At 41.3% G+C, this 21,604-nt stretch overlaps 1 protein-coding gene across 5 annotated transcripts in view; it reads left to right on the top strand.

The window, feature by feature from the left end:
• MED27 (mediator complex subunit 27) overlaps window positions 1-21,604 on the top strand; it is a 219,756-nt gene that overhangs the window by 136,338 nt on the left and 61,814 nt on the right. For all 5 annotated transcript variants that reach the window (NM_001253881.2, NM_004269.4, XM_017015329.2 and 2 more), the window contains exon 4: window positions 4,056-4,149. In NM_001253881.2, the coding sequence (NP_001240810.1) occupies window positions 4,056-4,149 (94 nt within the window). The remainder of the gene's footprint in view (window positions 1-4,055; window positions 4,150-21,604) is intronic.

Genomic DNA, 21,604 nt, shown 5'->3' with positions numbered 1-21,604 from the left:
GAGCACACTGTTCCTACCTGTCCTTAGCCCTGCTCTCAAAGTGGGGCGCCGCACTGCAGAGCCCGCTGCAGACGCTAGCCGTGCTCACCGTCTCGGGAGGCAGCACTCAGAGAGTACTGCCAGAGACCACCTCCCATACCAACACCCCCTCCCTCAACAAGAAAGAGTGTCATTTTTGTCTCTAGATTTTTAATTTGAGCTTCCAAGCTTTCCTTATTTCTGTCAAGTCACTAGTGGTTGATTTGTGTTTCGAAGGTTGGGTCTGTTTGAAAATGAAATGTTTTGATTTTTGCCTCGAGAATTTAGACATTGTTTTCCTCAGCTAAAAATGCAGCTGACTTTCTCTCTTTCCCCTTTTGGCAAATACATAATGTCACCTGTAGAAAAGAAATTTGCATCTCCTTTGTATTAGGCATGTGAATGGAAAACAATCTCCTGAAAATCCATTTTGCTTCATACAGTCTTTGAGTTTGCTGAGCTTTGTCTGAGGTCACGGGTTGGGGAAGAAACAACAAAACAACAACAAAACCCACCCAGATCTCTTTACTTACCTGTGCCAACTGCAGATATTTTTCCTAGGAACTTATTTTTCTTCTGCCATTGCCTTTTCTTACAGGTAAAAATCTCATCAATAAAGGAATCAAAAATGGCCAGGAACATTTGTTTGCCCATTTAGAACTCTGGCCCTTACTAAAAGCAAGCAAAGTTAGGTAGTTGGCATGGAATTCTAGAAATCTACACACTGAGCTTGGTTTCTGGCTTTTTGCTTGACCTGGGATCATCACTTAACCCACCTCATTTCTTTATTTTTCTAGCCTCCTAAGGAGACTAGTTTTCCAGAATGTATCTTGACGCCTTCAAGGTGAAAGGTACAATGGAAAGCAAATTATGATGTTACCTTTGTGCTGAAGATCTGCATATTCATCTGCTTTCTGCTGTCCAGAGCTATGATGGCTATTGATTGAGGACAATAGCCTCAATGTTCAGAAGACATCGCCTATCCTCCTCCCCATTAGCATATACTTAGCAATGACCTCCATTCACACAGGACAGTGGATGTTTGCTTCCTGCTGAGTCGGAAGAAACTGGGTTTAAACCACACATATAGATTTAGAGAAGAAGTATATACATGCAGAAATGTTTCCAGTGACCTGGTATAAACTTTGGGCATGATGTTTTTGTCATGTGCCTTCACCATTTCAAGAAACGTCAGGCAATGATGAAAAATGAGTTCATTTCCTCCTTTCTTCACTTCTCACCCCTTTTGTAGCATTTAAGCTTAGATCCAAGGTTGTGTGTCATGATGCTGTAAATCTAGAGGGAACCACGGGAGATGATGTGTGGTCAACCTGTGTCTTAGCCATCCAGGAAAGATTGTTTATTAAACTATTAAAAAATCAGCAGAGGCTGGGCACGGTGGTTCACGCCTGTAATCCCAGCACTTTGGGAAGCCAAGGTGGGCAGATCACAAGGTCAGGAGATCAAGACCATCCTGGCTAATATGGTGAAATCCCGTCTCTACTAAAAATACAAAAAGTTAGCCAGGCGTGGTGGCGGGCACCTGTAGTCCCAGCTACTTGGGAGGCTGAGGCAGGAGAATGGTGTGAACCAGGGAGGTGGAGCTTGCAGTGAGCTGAGATTGCGCCACTGCACTCCAGCCTGGGTGACAGAGCGAGACTCGGTCTCAAAAAAAAAAAAAAAAAAAAAAAAAATTCAGCAGAATGGGGCTTTGCCTTTAAGAAATGCCTGTCATTCTTTCTGAGCAAGTTCACTTTTTGGTGCCATATCCTCACGGTATGGTGCTTTTGAGAGATAGGAGATGCTGTTTGGTACTGAGATCATGAAAGCCATTCATGTACTTGAAGAATATCAAAGTCTCCCTTGGCCTTCTTTTCTCCGGGAGCAAATACCCTTCAGTGCACCTCCACGCCTTCTCACTCATCTCTGCTGCAGTCTTCTTACTGTTGTCGTTGTTTACCACTGGGCCGTCTCTAATTTTTCCCCTTCCTTCTTCAGCTTAAAGTTTTAAAACTCGACATAACATTCTCTAAGGAAAACCTGATAGGCTTTCCTTAGAGAATAGGTAGGGTCACTTTCTAACTTTCAGAGCTGGCGTGTGTGTTCGCTTTTTAACAAAAGGCATTATGTTTTCTGCTATCTTTCATGAGCCCCAGGTTCAAACTAAAATCTTTTCATGTTGTGAACCGAGAACTAATCTCCCTCTTACCCCAAGAGAATATACCTTTTATATGTCCCTGACTTAACGGACATGTAATTTAATTTGTCGTAGCCAATGGATATGAAATCCAATGTAAAATCCTTAATAGATAGTTTTACATGTCAGCTATTATATTATACATCCTCTTTGTGTCCAGTGTAATTGGATGGTGAACACAAATTCTTGTATGATTTTGTTCTCAAAGGACCTGAGCCAGACCCTACTCAGTGCTATGGGCTGATGTCTTCACAATGCGCTACCACTGTAGGGGAGAATTTATCCCAGTAAGAGAGGGCATTTTTGCAGAATTGGCCCATGGTGTAAGTGGTAGAACTATCAATCAGGGCACTTAAAATTTTTGAGTCCTTTATATGTGCCAGTTCTCATGCTAAGTCCTTAATGTCACTGAAAACCTTAAGAGATACAGGTTTCATCTGGGTATAAGAATAGAGGATTCCCTTTTGGTGGGATATCTCCAAGGAAAACATGAAGCTGATAGCTTGCCTGATATGTTTGGGGTAAGAGCCAGGTAGAGAGTTTAGGAATAAAACTGTAACAGATACATAGAAAACTAATCAAATGAAAAGGCAAAACAGGGCTGGGTGCAGTGGCTCACGCCTGTAATCCCGGCATTTTGGGAGGCTGAGGCAGGTGGATCACTTGAGGTCAGGAGTTCGAGACCAGCCTGGCCAACATGGTAAAACTCCATCTCTACTAAAAATACAAAAATTAGCCGGGAGTGGTGGTGGGTGCCTGTAATCCCAGCTACCTGGGAGGCTGAGGCATGAGAATCTCTTGAACCTGGGAGGCGGAGGTTGCAGTGAGCTGAGATAGCACCACTGCACTCCAGCCTGGGCAATAGAGCAAGACTCAGTCTCAAAAAAAGAAAAAAAGAGAAGAAAAAATAGAAATGTAAGAAAACAGAAAGCTGTATAAGTAAATAAATGTAGTCATGAGCCACTATGTGTCTCAGCTATTAAAAATATATGCAGAGATTTTAGAATATAATCACAGACTACTGATTTAAGTAAAAATTGTGATATAACTTGAATTAGAGCACAACCAGGAGATCAGGAATGACTTCAGGTATTTAAAACAGAAGGAATTGGCCGGGCACAGTGGCTCATGCTTATAATCCCAGCACTTTGGGAGGCCGAGGCGGGCAGATCATGAGGTCAGGAGTTCGAGACCAGCCTGGCCAATATGGTGACACCCCATCTCTACTAAAAATATAAAAAGTAGCCAGGTGTGGTGGGGATCGCCTGTAGTCCCAGCTACTCGGGAGGCTGAAGCAGGAGAATCGCTTGAACCCGGGAGGCAGAGGTTGCAGTGAGCCGAGATCACGCCACTGCACTCCAGCCTAGGTGACACAGCAAGACTCTGTCTCAAAGAAAAAAAAAAAAAAAAAAAAGGAAGGAATTTAATCCTGGGAATTGGTTATTCCAGTGATTCAAAGGAGAAGCCAGATTAGACAGTGAGACAGCCCGGAGGTGCGCAACAGCAGGACACTGCTGCCATCCTGGACTGGAAGGACAAAGGGAGGGGGCCATGTTGTTGGAGTCCAGTGGCCCAGCAGGTGACACAGCTAAATTCTGACCTCCTATAGAAGAAGATTAATAGTCATGCCTTAAAATGAAAAATCAAGAACTAGCATTAAAAACACATTATCTGGACATACAGAGGTAAAGACTAAAAGGTTTCTAATTCTATTTGCCTTCTTAAAAATGTGTTATATTGATTTAAAATTATATTTAAAAGCAATGTCTTTTGAATACTATTAATCTGTAGCTCTTAACTGGAGTTGTAGTTCACACATGTTTATTTTTTTCCCATGTAGATATGTTGATGATGTGATCAGCCGCATTGACAGGATGTTTCCTGAAATGTCCATCCACTTATCCAGACCCAATGGAACATCAGCAATGCTTCTGGTAAGATCAGCTTGACTGATTTGTAGGGATGTTGGGGGAAAAAATGGACTTCACAATTAACTCTCTGGTCCTGTGTTGTAGGATCTAGAGAATGGGGATTAAATTCCAATTTGATAGTGAATAACATAGTTTCTTTACTGGCATTCTGTAGGTTAAGAATTCTGCACATTGAAACCTTGCTTTTGAACAAAATTTCAGACCCCATGTAAGACTTAACCAGAGAGGAAAGACACTGTAAGACCATTTCACCTTAAGTCACTTAATGCAACCTCCCAATGTTTTGGCGAATCTGTTTTCTATTTTCCCCAAAGGAGTATAGTAGACAATAGTGATGCTCAACTGTTGGATCCTGCTAAAGAAAACACTCTCGCCAGGCGCGGTGACTCACGCCTGTAATCCCAGCACTTTGGGAGGCTGAGGCGGGCGGATCACGAGGTCAGGAGATCGAGACCATCCTGGCTAACACAGTGAAACCCCATCTCTACTAAAAATACAAAATATTAGCCGGGTGTGGTGGTGGGTGCCTGTAGTCCCAGCTGCTGGGGAGGCTGAGGCAGGAGAATGGCATGAACCTGGGAGGCGGAGCTTGCAGTGAGCCGAGATCACTCCACTGCACTCTCCAGCCTGGGTGACAGAGCAAGACTCCTTCTCAAAAAAAAAAAGAAAAAAAAAGAAAACACTCTCTTAATATAAAACCAGAATATTATGTATTTGAAGAAAGTGTTCTGAGACTGATGACTTCTGGTTTTGCTGTTTCTGATTATGGTTTGCTCTGAACACATCGCCTCATAATCTCCTAGAAGATGTTTGTATTTGCATGAATTCACCGAAGACAGGTGTGTTTTGGAAATACAGTGGGATAGAAATGCTAAATTATGTTATTAATTAGGAAGGCATAGAGACCTCAATGATGAGAAGCTTTTCTAGTGGTCTGTGTAATAATACTTGTATGTGCTTGAAGAATACTTCCCTGAACACAGATTTTTGAGGAACCACCACATTTTATAAAAAGCAGAGTTTATTGAATAAGAATGATGGTTTCGATGGGCGTCAGGGAGGTAAGGTTCAGGACTGGGTATTTTTTCCATCTATTCTGCTGTTGCTGCTTTGGAGCCTAGTGTGAACTCCCCATATTTTAGCATTTTACTTGTGTGAAATCTTATAAATAGCCAGTCACCCAGGATGAGTTACTGTTTACTCCAGCCGTTCATCTTCGGGGAGCATTGTGTGTGCGTGCGTGTTTTGGTCTTAAGACAGGAAAAGATCTGGGCTTGTTAAATGTTTGTTACTTCGTTTGTGGGGGAAACAAATTAGTGACATTCACCTGGATAACATAATATTTAAAAAATTTCTTTCAGTTAAAACATAAAGAAAAGGAGATAATGCGATGTTTTTTTCATAGAAAAGGGAAACAGTTTTCTTCATATAAAATACATCTGTCTACAGAACACAAAATATCGTCTGCCTCCAGAGGTTGCAGTGAGCTGAGATCGCGCCATTGCACTCCAGCCTGGGCAAAAGAGCGAGACTCTGTCTCAAAAAAAAAAAAAAGTCTGCCTCAGTTAAATGTACAAATTGCCCAGATTTTAAGATACCCCAGACCTAGCAGTTGAAACATAAACCCTGCTCTCAGCATACCTGACAGGGCCCCAGAGAGTTAATGAAGATAAAAATGAATGCATCCTCAGTGAAATAGGTTTGTTCAAATTATTTCTGGGTCATTGAGCTCCCATTTCATAATGAGGGTGGGATTTGGCATTGAAGGGAATGAGCAGAGGGAACAGGATTCCAGGCAAACAGGCCACACAGATGAGTTCCTTCCACCTGAGAAGGCAGGCATGTATTTCACAGTGATGGTCGACCTCGCCTGCTTTCCCATGGAGCTTCTGTCCTAATAGACTGATGAGAGAGTTTAGGGGCTCAATTCAAGGCAAGAATCACATTTCATATGCCCTGTTTATTTACTACCACTAACACCCATCCACCCCCGCTAATTCAGACACGTGGATCTAGGTGCCTACTTGTTACCTTTCTTCAGCGACACAGGAACTCACAGAAGCTGGTGCTTACTTACAGGGCCAGTGGTAGGTGATTTGATTCAGAATCAGATTGCCATGGGCCATGGGGTTAATCATACTTTTAACATAATGCCTGCATTTGGCATTTACTATTAAAAGTTGGAATTTTATGAGATGGCAAATCTCTAGGCTATTCACTGCTACCACATCCATCGTGAGGTGGGTGATGGGAATTCCTACCTGGAGGGGGAGCAGGACCAACAGATGCCACCTCCCCCACTACCTACTGCTAGTCACCTGTTCCCCAAAAAGTGTTTTCTGGAGATGAATCTGGAATAAATTGATTTATTCTGGAATGCAGTGTATTCCTGAAGGCTTTGGGGGCAAGCGAGACTGATGGGGAAAGACCAGTTAAGAGGCCGTTGAAGCAGGGTGCACTTGAGCAGTCTCAGCTGACACCTTCCTTTACCTCCCTCGGCAAATGTACGAACTGTGCCTGTGCTTTTGAAATAAAACGGCATTTCCTCCTGAATTGGCTGGGCTTCCTTGAATGCAGTCAACAGAAACTCTGATTGACTTACATAAGGAAAGAGTTGGTTTTGGTTTTGCTGTTTGATGGTGCCAGGTGCATCAGACTCAGTGATTAATCTGACCTGCCCGGCAGGACAAAAACCAGAGTAGCTCCAGGCATGTCAGGAACAAGATCAGGACAACGTTTTTTAGGGGGCCCCATGGCCCAAATGATTCCGTATTAACCGCCTTCCATCCCTGTGCATACAACCTGGGAAGAACACTCCTGCTGGCCTAGCCTGCAGTTGCTCCTTGCCCTGAGCCCAGAGGATGGGGGAGTCAGGCCTTGGCAGCCCCACAGAACTGCAAGGAGTGGAGGGGAAGTAATTCCCTAGAGGAACCAGCCGTCTGTATGGCACAGTGAACGTCTGTGTGGACAGAGTCTTGTGGCTTACACAGCACTTATCTCATCTGGTCCTCACTGTGGCCCTCGAGGTGGGTAGCACCAACTGTGCTCATCTGACAAGTAGGAAATGGAGGCAGTTGTTTCCCGTGGCTGCGGGGACACCTATCCCTATCTCCCCAAGCCTCCAGGATGCTGTCCTCCTCTTGTCTCTGAGGACAGGTCATGCTGGTGGCAAGTAAGATTTGGACTACCAGGCACTAGGCTGGTGATTTTTTCTTTCTTTCTTTCTTTCTTTCTTTTTTTTTTTTTTTTTTGAGACAGGGTCTCACTTTGTCACCCAGGCTGGAGTGCAGTGGCGTGATCACAGCTCATTGCAGCCTCAGCCGCCTGGGCTCAAGCAATCCTCCCACCTCAGCCTCCTGAGTAGCTGGGACCACAGGTGTGTGCCACCATGCCTGGCTAATTTTTGTATTTTTTGTAGAGACGGCAGGCTGGTCTCGAACTCCTGAGCTCAAGTGATGCGTCTGCCTCAGCCTCCCAAAGTGCTGGGATTACAGATATGAGCCACTGTACCTGGCCAATTTTTTCTTAAAATTTTTAAATTATGTAATTTGATATATACTAAAGAATATATGTAATGTATATGTAAATTATAAAGCTTAGATAAACCCATGAGCTCATCACTCAATTTGAGAAATAGAATATAAACAATATGGCTCCTCCCCAGTCCCTGCCTCCCGACCCGTGGTCATCTCCACCCTGAGAGGCACCCCTTCTCATTTTTAAAATGCAATTTGCCACATGTGCCTGTATCCCTAAATAATGCCTCCTTGAGTTTTGAGCTGTGTAGAAATAGTATCATACTATGTATATTGTTTCTGAGCTGTATCCCTGATGGTGGTCGTATCTGGCAGTTTGATCATTGTCGTCTAATGTCCATCCTGTGACTGTCCACACTTTATTCTTTCTCTTGCCAAGGCATGTTGGGGTTGGTTACAATTTTGCTTTATAAATAATGTTGGCATGAGCATTCTCTTGCATATACCAGGATACTTGTTTTGAAAGTTTTTATTTTAATTTTTATGGGTGCACAGTAGGTGTATGTATTTATGGGGTATATGAGACACTTTGATACAGGCCTGTGATGTGTAATCATCAAATCCTGGTAAATGGATATCTGTCCTCTCAAGCATTTATTCTTTGTTTTATGAATTATCCAATTATACTCTTTTAGTTATTTTAAAATGTACAATTAAATTGTTATTGATTGTAGTCACCCTGTTGTGCTATCAAATACTAAGTCTTATTTATTTTTACTAACTACTTTTTGTACCTATTAAACATCCCCACTATCCTGCCCCCATACTCCCACCCCAACTACCCTTCTCAGCCGCTGGTAACCATCCTTATTCTATCTACAGGAGTTCAATTACTTTAATTTTTACCTCCCACAAATAGATGAGAACATAACGAAGTTTATCTTTCTGTGCCTGGCTTATTTCACATAACTTAACAACCTCCATTTCCACCCATGTTGTTGCAGATGACAAGATCTTGTACTTTTTATGGCTGAATAGTACTCCGTTGTGTATATGTACCACATTTTCTTTACCCACTCACCTCTTGATGGACACCAAGATTGTTTCCAAATTTTGGCTATTGTGAACAGTGCTGCAACAAACATGGGGGTGCAGCTATCTCTTTGATATACTGGTTTCCTTTCTTTTGGGTATATATGCAGCAGTGGGATTGCTGGGTCATATGGTAGCTCTATTTTTTGGTTTTCTGAGGAACCTCAAAACTGTTCTCCATGGTGGTTGTACTAATTTACATTTCCACCAACAGTGTACAAGGGTTCTCTTTTCTCCACCTCCTCACCAGCATTTGTTATTGCCCGTCTTTGGATAAAAGCTATTTTAACTGGGTTTTTGCCATTTGTATATCTTCTTTTGAGAAATATCTATTCGGATCTTTTGCCTATTTTTTAATTGGATCATTAGATTTTTTTTTTCCTGTAGAGTTCAAGCTCCTTATATATCCTGGCTATTAATCCTTTGTCAGATGGGTAGTTTGCAATTCAGTAATATTGCAGATCCATTCTATGGACTGTCTCTTCACTTTGTTGATTGTTTCCTTTGCAGTACAGAAGCTTTTTAACTTGATATGATCCCATTTATCCATTTTTGCTTTGGTTGCCTATGTTTATGGGATGTTACTCAAGACATTTTTGCTCAGACCAATGTCCTGGAGAATTTCCCCAACATTTTCTTGTAATAGTTTCATAGTTTGAGGTCTTAGATTTAAGTCTTTAATCCATTTGTATTTGATTTTTATGTATGGTGAGAGACAGTGATCTACTTTCATTCTTCTGCATATGGAAATTAAGTTTTCCCAGCACCATTTATTGAAGGGATATCTTTTCCCCAATGTATGTTCTTGGCATCTTTGTCAAAAATGAGTTCACTGTAGGCGTATGGATTTGTTTCTGGGCTCTCTAGTGTCTTCCATTGATCTATGTGTCTTTTTATGCCAGTACCACGCTATTTTGGTTATTATAGCTCTGCAATATAATTTGAAGTCAGGTAATGTGATTCCTCCAGTTTTGTTCTGCTGAGGGTAGCTTTTGCTATTCTGGATCTTTTGTGGTTCCATATAAATTTTAGGATTTTTTTTTCTATTTCTTTGAAAAATATCATTGGTATTTTGATAAGGCTTGTATTGAATGTGTATTGCTTTGGGTAGTATGGACATTTTAACAATATTGATTCTTCCAACCTATGAACATGGAATATCTTTCCATCTTTTTGTGTCTTCTTCAATGTCTTCTATCAGTGTTTTATAGTTTTCATTATGAGAGTTTTATAGTTTTCATTATGAGAGTTTTCATTATTTCTCAATTCTGTTTCTTTGGTTGATTCCAGGGTATTTAATTTTATGTGTGGCTATTAAATCGGATTACTTTTTTATTTCTTTTTCATATTGTTCGCTCTTAGCATATAGAAATTCTACTGATTTCTGTATATTTTGTATCCTTCAACTTTACTGAATTTGTTTCTCAGTTCTAATGGTTTTTTGGCAGAGTCTAGGTTTTTCCAAATATAAGATCGGATCATCTGCTAACAAGGATAATTTGACCCTCTTCCTTTCCAATTTGGATGCCCTCTATTTTTTTCTCTTGTCTGATTGCTCTAGCTAGGACTTCCAGTATTATGGAAGGATGAAAGTGGGCATCCTTGTCATGTTCTAAATCATAGAGGAAAGGCTTTCATTTTTTCCCCATTCAGTATGATGCTAACTGTAAATCTGTCATATATGGCTTTTATTATGTTGAAGTATGTTCCTTCCATACCCAAATTTTTGAAGGTTTTTATCATAAAATGATGTTGGTTTTTATCAAATGTTTTTTCAGTATCAATTGAAATGATCGCATGGTTTTTGTCCTTCATTCTGTTCATATGATGTTTCACATTAATTGATTTGTGTATGTTGAACCATCTTTACATCCCTGGAATAAATCCCACTTGGTCATGATGAATGATCTTTTTAATGTATTGTTGAATTCAGTTTGATAGTATTTGGTTGAGGATTTTTGCATCAATAATCATCAGAAATATTGGCCTATAGTTTTCTTTTTTGTTGTGTCTTTGTCTGGTTTTGGTATCAGGGTAATACTGGCCTCATAAACTGAGTTTGGAGGTATTCCTTCCTCCTCTGTTTTTTGGAATACTTTGAGTAGGATTGGTATTAATTCTTCTTTAAATGTTTGGTAGAATTCAGCAGTGAAGCCTTTGGATCGTGGGCTTTTCTTTACTGGGAGACTTTTTTATTACTGCATCAATGTCATTACTTGATATTGGTCTGTTCAGGTTTTAGATTTCTTCATGGTTCAGTCTCGGTAGGTTGTATGTGTCTATGAATTTATCCGTTTCCTCGAGGTTTTCCAATGTATTGGCATGTAGTTGCTCATAGTAGCCACTAATGATCCTTTTAATTTCTATAGTATCAGTTGTAATGTCTCCTTTTTCATCTCTTATTTTATTTGTATCTTCTCTCTTTTTTTTTTTCCCTAATTAGTCTGGCTAAAGGTTTGCCAGTTTTATTTTGTGTTTCCATTATCATTTATTTCAAGAAATTTTTTCAGTTTCCTTCTTAATCTCTTAATTGACCCACTGGTCATTCAGGAGCATATTGTTTAATTTCCGTGTGTTTGTATGGTTTTCAAAATTCCTCTCGTTATTGATTGCTAATTTTATTCCAGTGTGGTCAGAGAAGATGCTTGATATTCTTATAGTTTTTTTTTTAATGTGTTAAGACTTGTTTTGTTACCTAACGTATGGTCTGTGCTTGAGAATGGTCCATGTAGTCTTATCCTTGAGAGTGATCTGTGTGCTGAGGAGAAGAATATGTGTTCTGCAGTCATTGGATGAAGTGTTCTGTAAATATCTATTATGTCCATTTGTTCTGTAGTCCAGGTTACGTCTGATGTTTCTTTGTTGGTTTTCTGTCTGGAAGATCTGTCCGATGCTGAAATTGGGGTGTTAAATTATTGTATTGTGGCCTGTCTCTCTCCTTAGCTCTAATGATATTTCCTTTATGTATCTAAGTGTTCCATTGTTGGTTGTATATATATTTCCAATTGTGATATTCTCTTGCTGAATTGACCCCTTTAGCATTATATGATGACCTTCTTTGTCTCTTTTTACAGTTTTTGTCTTGAAATCTATTTTGTGTAAGTATAGCTACTCCTGCTCTCTTTTGGTTTCCATTGGCATGGAATATCTTTTTCCATCCTTTTATTTTCAGTCTGTATGTATCTTTGTAGGTGAAGGCTGTTTTTGTAGGCAACAGATCAATGGGTCTTGCTTTTTTATCTATTCAGCTACTCTGTGTCTTTTGATTGGAGAGTTTACTTATATTTGATTGGAGTTAGTTCACTTATACTCAGTGTTATTGTTGATAAGTAAGGACTTACTTCTTCCATTTTGCTGTTTTCTGGTTGTTTTGAGGTCTTCCTTCCTTCTTTTGTTCCTTTTAGTGAAGGTGATTTTCTCTGGTGGTATGATTTAATTTTTTGCTGTTTATTTTTTGTGTGTCCATTGTATATTTTCTAATTTGAGGCTACCATGAAGTTTGCAAATACTATCTTATAATCTGTTGTTTTATTTATTCATTCTTTATATTTTATTTTATTTATTTATTTTTGAGATAAGGTCTCACTCTGTCACCCAGGCTGGAGTGCAGTGGCACAATCTTGGCTCACTGCAGCCTCCGCCCCCTGAGCTCAAGTGATCCTCCCTCCTCAGCCTCCCGAGTAGCTGGGACCACAGATCCGCACCACCACACCCAGCTAAGTTTTTGTATTTTTGATAGAGACAGGTTTCACCATGTTACCCAGGCTGATCTTGAACTCCTGAGCTCAAGCAGTCTGCCCCCTTGGCTTCCCAAAGTGCTGGGATTACAGGCATGAGCCACCGTGCCCAGCCTTATAACCTGTTATTTTAAACTGATGACAACACTGCTTGCATAAACAAACAAACAAAAAAAAGGCAAAAAGACAACTAATAATAACTCTACACTTTTTCATGGCCCCGCTTTTTAACTTTTGGTTGTTTTTCTTTATGTCCTATTGTACTACCTATATCTTGAAAAGTTATTATTTTTGATTGGATCATTGTTTAGTCTTTCTACTTAAGAGTAGTTTTCACAGCGCAATTACAGTATCATAATATTACGTGTTTTTCTGTGTGCTCACTATTACCAGCAAATTTTGTACCTTCAGATGATTTCTTATTGCTCATTTACATCCTTTTCTTTCTGATTGAAGAACTCCCTTTAGCATTCCTTATAGGAAAGGTCTGGTGTGATGAAATCCCACAGGTTTTGTTTGTCTGAAAAAGTCTTTATTTCTCCTTCATGCTTGAAGGATATTTTCATAGGATATACTATTCTAGGGTAAAAGTTTTTTTCCTTCAGCACTTCAAATATGCCATGCCACTCTCTCCTGGCCTGTAAGGTTTCCACTGAGAGGTCTGCTGCCAGATGGACTGGAGCTCCACTCTATGTTATTTGTTTCTTTTCTGTTGCTTTGTTCCTTTTAGGATCCTGTCTTTATCCTTGACCTTTGAGAGTTTGATTATTAAATGCCTTGAGGTAGTCTACTTCAGGTTAAACTTGCTTGGTGTTCTATAACCTTCTTGTACTTGAATGTTGCTGTCTTTCTCTAGTTTTGGACAGTGATCTGATGTTACCCCTTGGAATAAACTTTGTACCCGTCTTTTTTCTCTACCTCCTCTTTAAGACCAATGACACTTAGATTTGCCCTTTAACGCTATTTTTTAGGTCTGGATTACCAGGCAGAGACTTGGTCCTCTTCCCTTACTTTCTCCCAAACAAAGGGAGCCTCTCTCTCTCTCTGTGCTAAGCCACCTGGAGCTGGAGATGAGGTGATGCAAACACCACTGTGGCCACCACTCCTGAGACTGTGCTGGGTCAGACTTGAGGCCAGCGCAGCACTGGGTCTTGCCCAAGGCTCGCTGTAACCACTACGCCTATGTTCATTCAAGGTGCTAGGACTCTACAGTCAACAGATGGGGAAGCCAGCCAGGTTTGTGTCCTTCCTTTCAGGGTAGCAAGTTCCCCTAGGTCCCAGGTGGGTTCACAGATGCTGTCTGAGAGCCAGGGATTGGAGTCAAAAACCTTAGAAATCTAGCTGGTACTCTATTCTACTGCAGCTGAGCTCCTTCCCACTCTTCCCTCCCCTTTCCACAGGCAGAAGAGCCTCTCCCAGTGACCGCCACCACCACTGGTCCGTGGGGAGTTCTGCCAGGCCACTGCCAATGTTCACTGAAAGTCCGGGGGCCCTTCAGTCAGTGAAAAGTCCATAGTGATTGTACTAATTTACACTCACCATACAGGTGTGGTGAATGCTGCCACGCCTGAGACTCACCCTTCAGGGCAGTGGATGCCCCTCTGCCAGAGCAGGTCCAGAAATACCATCTAAGAGCCTAGGCCTGGACTCAGGGACCCCAAGAGCCCACTTGGTGCCCTACCCTCCTGTAGCCAAGCTGGTACCTAAGGGGCAAGGCAAAGTCCCTTTTACTTTTCCTTCTGCTTTTCTCCAGCAGAAGGAGTCTCTCCCCAGAACCACCACGGCTGGGAATGTGCTGGATCTCACTTGAAGCCAGCACGTCTCAGAGTCTCACCCAAGGCCCACGGCATACCACCTGGGTGTCACTGTTGGTTATTCCGGGCCCAAGGGCCCTTTGGTCAGCAGGTGATGGATCCTGCCAGGACTAGGTCCATCCCTTCAAGGGAGCAGATTCCCTTCTGGCCCAAGGTGTCGAGAAATATCATTTGGGAGCTAGGGCCTAGAATGGGTGCCTCACGACTGCCTGGTGCCCTATCCTGTTGTGGCTGAGCTGATGTCCAAGATGCAAGACGAAGTCCTCTTTACTCTTCGCTCTCCTGTCCTCAAGAAGAAGGAAGGGTCACTTTCATTGCTGTAAACTGTGGTGCCTAGAATTGGGGGAAGGGTGGCGCAAGCACTCCCTTAGCCACCCAGGCTACTGTCTCCCTGGGTCACATGCCGCCCTAGTCCACTGGCTATAAGCCCAGCCCAGCACTAGAACTTGCTTAGGAATTGTAGTCCTTGTGGTCTAGACTGCCTTTCAAGTTTACCTAGAACCCCAGAACACTTTAGCACACGCTGGCAAGGCTTGCTGAGAAACTCAAGTTCCCACACTGGGGTGGGTGATTTCTCTCTGGCCAGAACTGGTCCAAATACTCCCTCTGTGGATATGGCATCAGCTGAGCCCAGCATGGCTTTACTCTCCACTGTGTCAGGGCAGCACTGAGTTCAATGGCAAGTCCCCCAGTCGCTGTGCTCTCCCTCACCCAAGTGTGCAGATCCTCTCCAGGCCATTTAGCAGCTGCTGGAGGAAGGAGGAGGAGTGGTGTCACTCAAGACTGTCTTTCCTCCTCTTTTCAATGCCTCTTTCAGTGAAATAAAGTTAAAACAAGATACTGTGATTGCTTACCTGATTTTTCATTCTTATTATGGTGCTTTTTTGTGTGTAGTTGTTAAAAATTGGTGTTCCTGCAGGGGGGATGGTCGGGGGAGGCTTCTGTCTGGCCATCTTGCTCCACCCACCTCAGGATACATTTTTAAGTGTTAGCCCAAGCCACAGAGCCAGTGCAGACTCCTCTCTGGAGGAGCAGGGAGGTGTTGTGATCAGTAGGGAAAGACGGCATTTTCCTAAGAGCCACCTGAGTTGTGAAACCTGATGTTGCAGTGCCCACATGGGTGTCCAGAGCGGCTCCTGTTAAACAGCCTTGGTTCTACAGTAACACATTCCACTGATTTTGTTGTTGTTCTAAATCTCATCTGCTTTTGGTATATGAGTGTAGAGGGCTTGGGGGTTGTTTGTGCATATGCATGGGAAAACAGCATGAAGTCATTGGACTTCAGGCAATTTATGGACAAAAGGCAGGTTTTGGTGATCCCATTTTGGCTTCCTCCTTCACCAAGCAGTCCCTGCCAAGAAGCTCCTGACGTGCCTGGAGCAACCCTGGCCTTTGTCCCTCGTGGCAGGTCCAGTCTGTAATTGGGAGTCTCAGTCCATCATCGACAGTTTCTTCAGAGTATAAAAAGGGAAAAGGGAGGGGGAGACTACCAAATTGGCACTTTTTGAGCCCTCTGTATATTTCAGCTTGGCTTATCTAAAGCCAAACCAGCTTTTTGTTGTTGGCCTGGAAGCACCAGGGCTTCGGGGCCAATCAGAACCTTAGGAGTAGTCACCTCCTAGCCTGAGGACTGTGTTTGATATGGAGCACATGCTGGAGGCCCCTTCACAATTGTGAACCCACAGGGAGTTCACTCTTAGGAGAGGAGATGGGGTGAGAGGAGGGGAGGAAGGACAAATGGGCACTCAGCATTTGCTGAATGAATACATGAATGGCAGAAATAAAAGCATCTTTGACTTTCATATGTATCTGTTTGTCCATATTGGCAGAAATGGGGATCTGCTCTTTGGCTACTCAGGGGAGAAGGAATGACACTTGTGACTGATTTGATTCTGAAATTGCCAAGACAGTTACTGGCTTAACTTCTCGTGTCCTTGTAAGCCTTAGGTAATCAACTGTAGCCTATACAATCCAAGCCCTAGCTAATGTCAAATCTAAACTTGCAGCCTCTTGCATAATCTTTAAATACATTGTGGTGCTGTCTGCTCTGTTTCGGGGCTGTTTTGGTATTGTGTAAATTAATAACTCATGATTTAATAAATCTTGCTTCCGTTCTTTGAAGAGATGAGCACAGTTATCCAAAAATAAATCTAGCTATGTTGATATTTAGTGTCAGTTAATCTACCGCCTAACATCCCATTATTAATTTTCTTCAAACAGTCAAAATATTTTAAGAGCTTAACTGAATCAGACTGGAACAAGCTGCTGGCTTCTCTCGGCATTTAAAATATTAATTTACAATTTTTGACTGATCTATTAGGTAGAAAAATGTAAGAAAAGAAAAAAGCTTCAACCATGACACTGAAAATATATATTGGTATTTTATCATGTTTATTTAGATGTTATTTGATTTGCAAAGGATGAAACTCATTTATCAGTCTTTCTAAATCGACATTTTAACCAACCTTCAATTTCCATAACATATTCATACCCTGCTTGTGAATGACACATCTTGTTTTCAACCATTTAGACTAACATTATCTCATTGTACTCCACCCCGAGTTCTTTGAGGTAGGAAAGACTGTTGAATTGCTAGACTGCTTAATTATTTGGGGCCTTGATTTCTCCACTGAGTTCAATAGTGCTCAGGCTTGAAAAGGACTAAGAGTCACCAGCGTAGTTTGTGGGAAATGCACATTCTTGACAGGCAGTACAGAAATTCCAATTCAGCAGCTCTGGGGAACCCAGGAGGCCAGGACGGCTAGAGGGGAAGCAGGGAGTGAGGGGAAGGACGGTGGCGTCCTGGAGCTCTCCCTTTTCTCACTGCTGTGTTTCTTGGGCATCTCAGCTGAGTCTCAGGTAATCTGTGGAGTACATTTTGAGAATTCCTTTGTGCCCTTGGAGTTCTGATGAAGGCTGGCCTTTTTGGTAAGTCCCAGCTCTAGTGTCAAACTGGCTTATGAGATATGCTACTAAGGCGTTCATATTTATTCAGTAAATACTCACTGAGCCCCTGGAGATAAAGGCATAGTTCTAGGCACTGTTCGGCGTGGACCACACGAAGTTTTTGCCCTCACGGAGCCTGTCTGTAGCATAGAAAATGGACAAGAGACCAGCAACTTGCATAAAATGATGCCAGATGGTGATAAAGCTCAGAAGAACAGAAGCGGGGTGGCCAGAGCACAGGAGTGAGGGGAAGAAAGGGAGAAGTTGACACCACCTAAGCAGGAGACACCAGTCTGGGCCTCACAGGCTGGGAGGAGGGCTCCCTGCTTAGTGAGGTGTCCCTGTCATTTTAAATTCAGATGTACAAATTTGGATTCATCGTGACCCTTGACTCATGACACACTGTCATCACTAACGCAGGCATGGCCCTTTCATATTGGTTTATTTATAGTGCAGTGGGCATCTTTGAACATAGAACTGGACCAGGAGCTGCAGCATGATTGGCAGCCTGTGCTGCCTGGGATTGCCCCCCACCGCCCCCGCAGGAGCTGCTGTCCCCTGGCGTGTTTATCATTCTCTCTCCTGTTTTGGAGGGGATGCTTCACCATATATATATGCATATTCCTAAATTTATTCTTTAATTTTCCCTGGGTTTTAACTTAATTTATTTTAAAGGGATTATATGTTATCTTCAGGGACTTAATTTTTCACTGAACATTTTGTGTTTTTTACTAAATTTCATTCAATTTGTTGGTTTAGCTATAGCTTATTCATTTTCACTGATAGGAAATATTCCATTATCAGAATATATACTAATTTATTTATCCATTTTTCAATCAATGGTCATTCGATTTATTTCTGGGTTTCTGTTTTTCTATTATAAACAGTCCTGCTCTTACATTTTAAAATAATGAAGAGTATAATTGGATTGTTTGTAACACAAAATATAAATGCTTGAGGGGAAAGACACCCCATTCTCCATGATACGGTTATTATGCATTGCATGCCTGTATCAAAACATCTAATGTATTCCATAAATATATACAACTCTTATGTACCCACAAAAAAATAAGAATAAAATAATCAAATAAACAGTCCTGCTCAGAACATTCTTGTTCGTATTCCATAGTACCCGTGGGCTACAGTTTTTCTTGGATCTATTCCTAGGAGTGGAATTGCTTGGTTTAGGACAGTGGTTCTTAACTGGGAGTGATTTTTGCCTCCCAGCAGACATTTGGCAAGGCCTAGAGATATTTTTAATTGCCACAACCTGGGGAAAGTGATGTTCCTGTCATCTATTGGGTAAGCGTGAGAACAAAAATGTAGACCTAAATAAATAAACAAGCAAAGAAAATATCACCTAGAGAAAGAAACACTGAAAATATTACACACATAACTATAGAATGATATGACCAAGTTGAGACCACACATATCAGTCATATCAATAAATATGAATTAATTTAACACACTTATTGAAAGCTTTTTAAAGGTGGTGATGATGTGGAAAAATAGGTATGCATTAAAGGATAGGAAAACACCACAAAAAGAAAAGCTACCAAGGGAGCTAGCCCTGTCAAGCATTAAAACATACCCTAAAACCTGTATCATTAGAACAGTGCAGTACTGGCTCATAAGTAGACAAACAGGCTAGTAGAATAAAATAGCCTAGACATAGACCCAAGTACATGTGGAAATTGAGTATGATGCAGGTGGCATCTCAGGTCAGTAGGGCCTCAGTCATAAAAAGGAAAAACACCTTCAGATGGTCAAAAACATCATTAGAAAATCAAAAGACAGCCAAGCTGGGAGAAAATATTTGCAACATACATTACAGACAGGACTAATATCCCTAAAATTATTTTTTAAATCATAAAAATATAGGGTAAAACACCAAAAATGGGATAGAAAATGAGGAAAAGAAACAGACAATTCACCAAATTTTAAATATATATATGAGATACTTAAACAGATGAAAAGATGTTCAACCTTACCCATAATTAGGGAAATGCGAATTAAAATTGCACTGAGGTACCATTTCTCACCTACCAGATTGGCAAAAATTAAAAAAACATAACAACAGGTTCTGTTGGTAAAGGCTGTGGGGAAACGCCCTCTCATACCTTGCTAATGAGAATGCAGATTCATCCAACTGTTTTGAAGGGACTTTGGCAATGTCTAAGAAAACTATGTACATCACACTTCCAGCAATATATGAAAATACATATATACCACTATTAACTGAAGCTTGTTTGTAATTGTAGAATATTGGAAATAGCCGAAATGCCTGTGCAGAGGCGTGTGATTGAATACATTATGATACACTCGCACAATGGAGCCACATCACTTTTTTTTCCATCTTCAGAAAAGAATGAGAAAGACCTCTATGACTCACATGCAGTGATTGCCAGGATATATTGTTAATAGAAAAAAAGCAAAATGCAAGAGTATCCTTAATACGCTTACTTTTTCTGGAAAAAGGGAGATATAAAATACCCTTATCTGCTCATTTCTACTGGGGAAACAACACAGGAAAGAGAAACCTGAAGCAGAGAAATTGGTTATGGGTGGGTAGATGGGAAAGGCATGTCACAGGTGAGGAGCGGGGAATAGAGGAAAGCAGGTGTGTGTTGGGGAGGCCTGACTCTGAGCATACCTTCTTATGTAGTTCTGACTGTTAGAACATGTGAATGTTTCACATACTTGAAAAAGTAAATAAACTGGACAAGATTTTAAAAAAGAAGAATGCAAAACAAGTAAATTGAAATGTATTTCAATTGAATAATGTGACCATGCCTTAGGGGATAGGAGAGGGATAGAGAACTAACACTAGTAACCTTTGAACTTGACATTTTGACCCTAAACCCTTAAGCTAGGGATTATAATAACTGTGAACTAATATTAAACTTCAGTTGGTTGGCTGGTTTTTCACAGTGGTTTGGATTAGTGATTCTGAAACTATGTGTATTCTAGGTTTGAGCAAATACGGAAATAAATTGTGGATAATGGGAGCCAAGTTTCATCCCTTTGGAGAGAGAAGTTATAAAGATGGAAAGTAGAATGCCAAAAGTCAACCCTCAGTGTGTTGGACTGCGATTGGAAGTATCAGTATCAATGGATTGTTTTTAATGTATGGATGTAGAAATAGATATAGATGTGTCTGTACACAGGAGTGCACGTTTCCCAATTCTGTCTGCTGAGAAGGTCTAGAAGCAGTGAGACCCCAGCAACAGTGAGCACAACTATCATCCACATATTAGTTTCTAAATATCATTCTCACTAATAGGAACTCCTTGGAGAAGTGGCTGATTCCAGAACAGGAGCAGGAAAAGATGAGCCTAGAGCATCTTGCTGTGCCGGAAAGTAAGGAAGTGCCCAAAGAATGATAGGGACACATCAAAGGACACAGGCTGGGCACGGTGGTTCACGCCTGTAATCCCAGCACTTTGGGAGGCCGAGAATGGTGGATCACTTGAGGTCAGGAGTTTGAGACCAGCCTGGCCACCATGGCGAAACCCCGTCTCTACTAAACATACAAAAATTATAGCATTAGGAGATATACCTAATGCTAAATGACGAGTTAATGGGTGCAGCACACCAACATGGCACATGTATACATATGTAACAAACCTGCACATTGTGCACATGTACCCTAAAACTAAAAGTATAATAATAATAAAAGAAAAGAAAAAAATAAAAATAAAAATACAAAAATTAGCTGGGTGTGGCGGTGCATGCCTGTAATCCCAGCTACTCAGGAGGCTGAGGCAGGAGAATTGCTTGAACCTGGGAGGTGGAGGTTGCAGTGAGGCAAGATCGTGCCACTGCACTCCAACCTGGGTGACAGAGTGTGACTGTGTCTCAAAAAAAAAAAAAAAAGACACAGAAGCCAGTTGAAAGGAGCCTCCTACTCACCAAACCCAGGACAATTGAACACCAAAATAAATAACACTCATAATGGATTACAGTCCATTGAATACAGTAGTAATCCTTGAGTCCACACTGATTTAAGTAAATACATGGTAAAAAATTGAAAGCTATCAGTGTAAGAATAGCTCACGGTATATTGCTCATTTCTTTAACAATAGCTGTGGGAAAGCTCTTTCTTTTTTTATTTTTATTTTTATTATTTTATTTTATTTTATTTTTTATTATACTTTAAGTTCTAGGGTACATGTGCACAATGTGCAGGTTTGTTAGATATGTATACATGTGCCACACTGGTGTGCTGCATCCGTTAACTCGTCATTTACATTAGGTATTTCTCCTAATGCTATCCCTCCCCCTCCCCCCTCCCCATGACAGGCCCCGGTGTGTGATGTTCCCTACCCTGTGTCCAAGTGTTCTCATTATTCAGTTCCCACCTATGAGTGAGAACATGCAGTGTTTGGTTTTC

This window comes from Homo sapiens, chromosome 9 (genome assembly GCF_000001405.40).
Source record: "Homo sapiens chromosome 9, GRCh38.p14 Primary Assembly".
NCBI lineage: Eukaryota > Metazoa > Chordata > Mammalia > Primates > Hominidae > Homo > Homo sapiens.
Note: the sequence above shows the minus strand (reverse complement) of the source record. Positions and strands in the feature narration are given on the sequence as shown.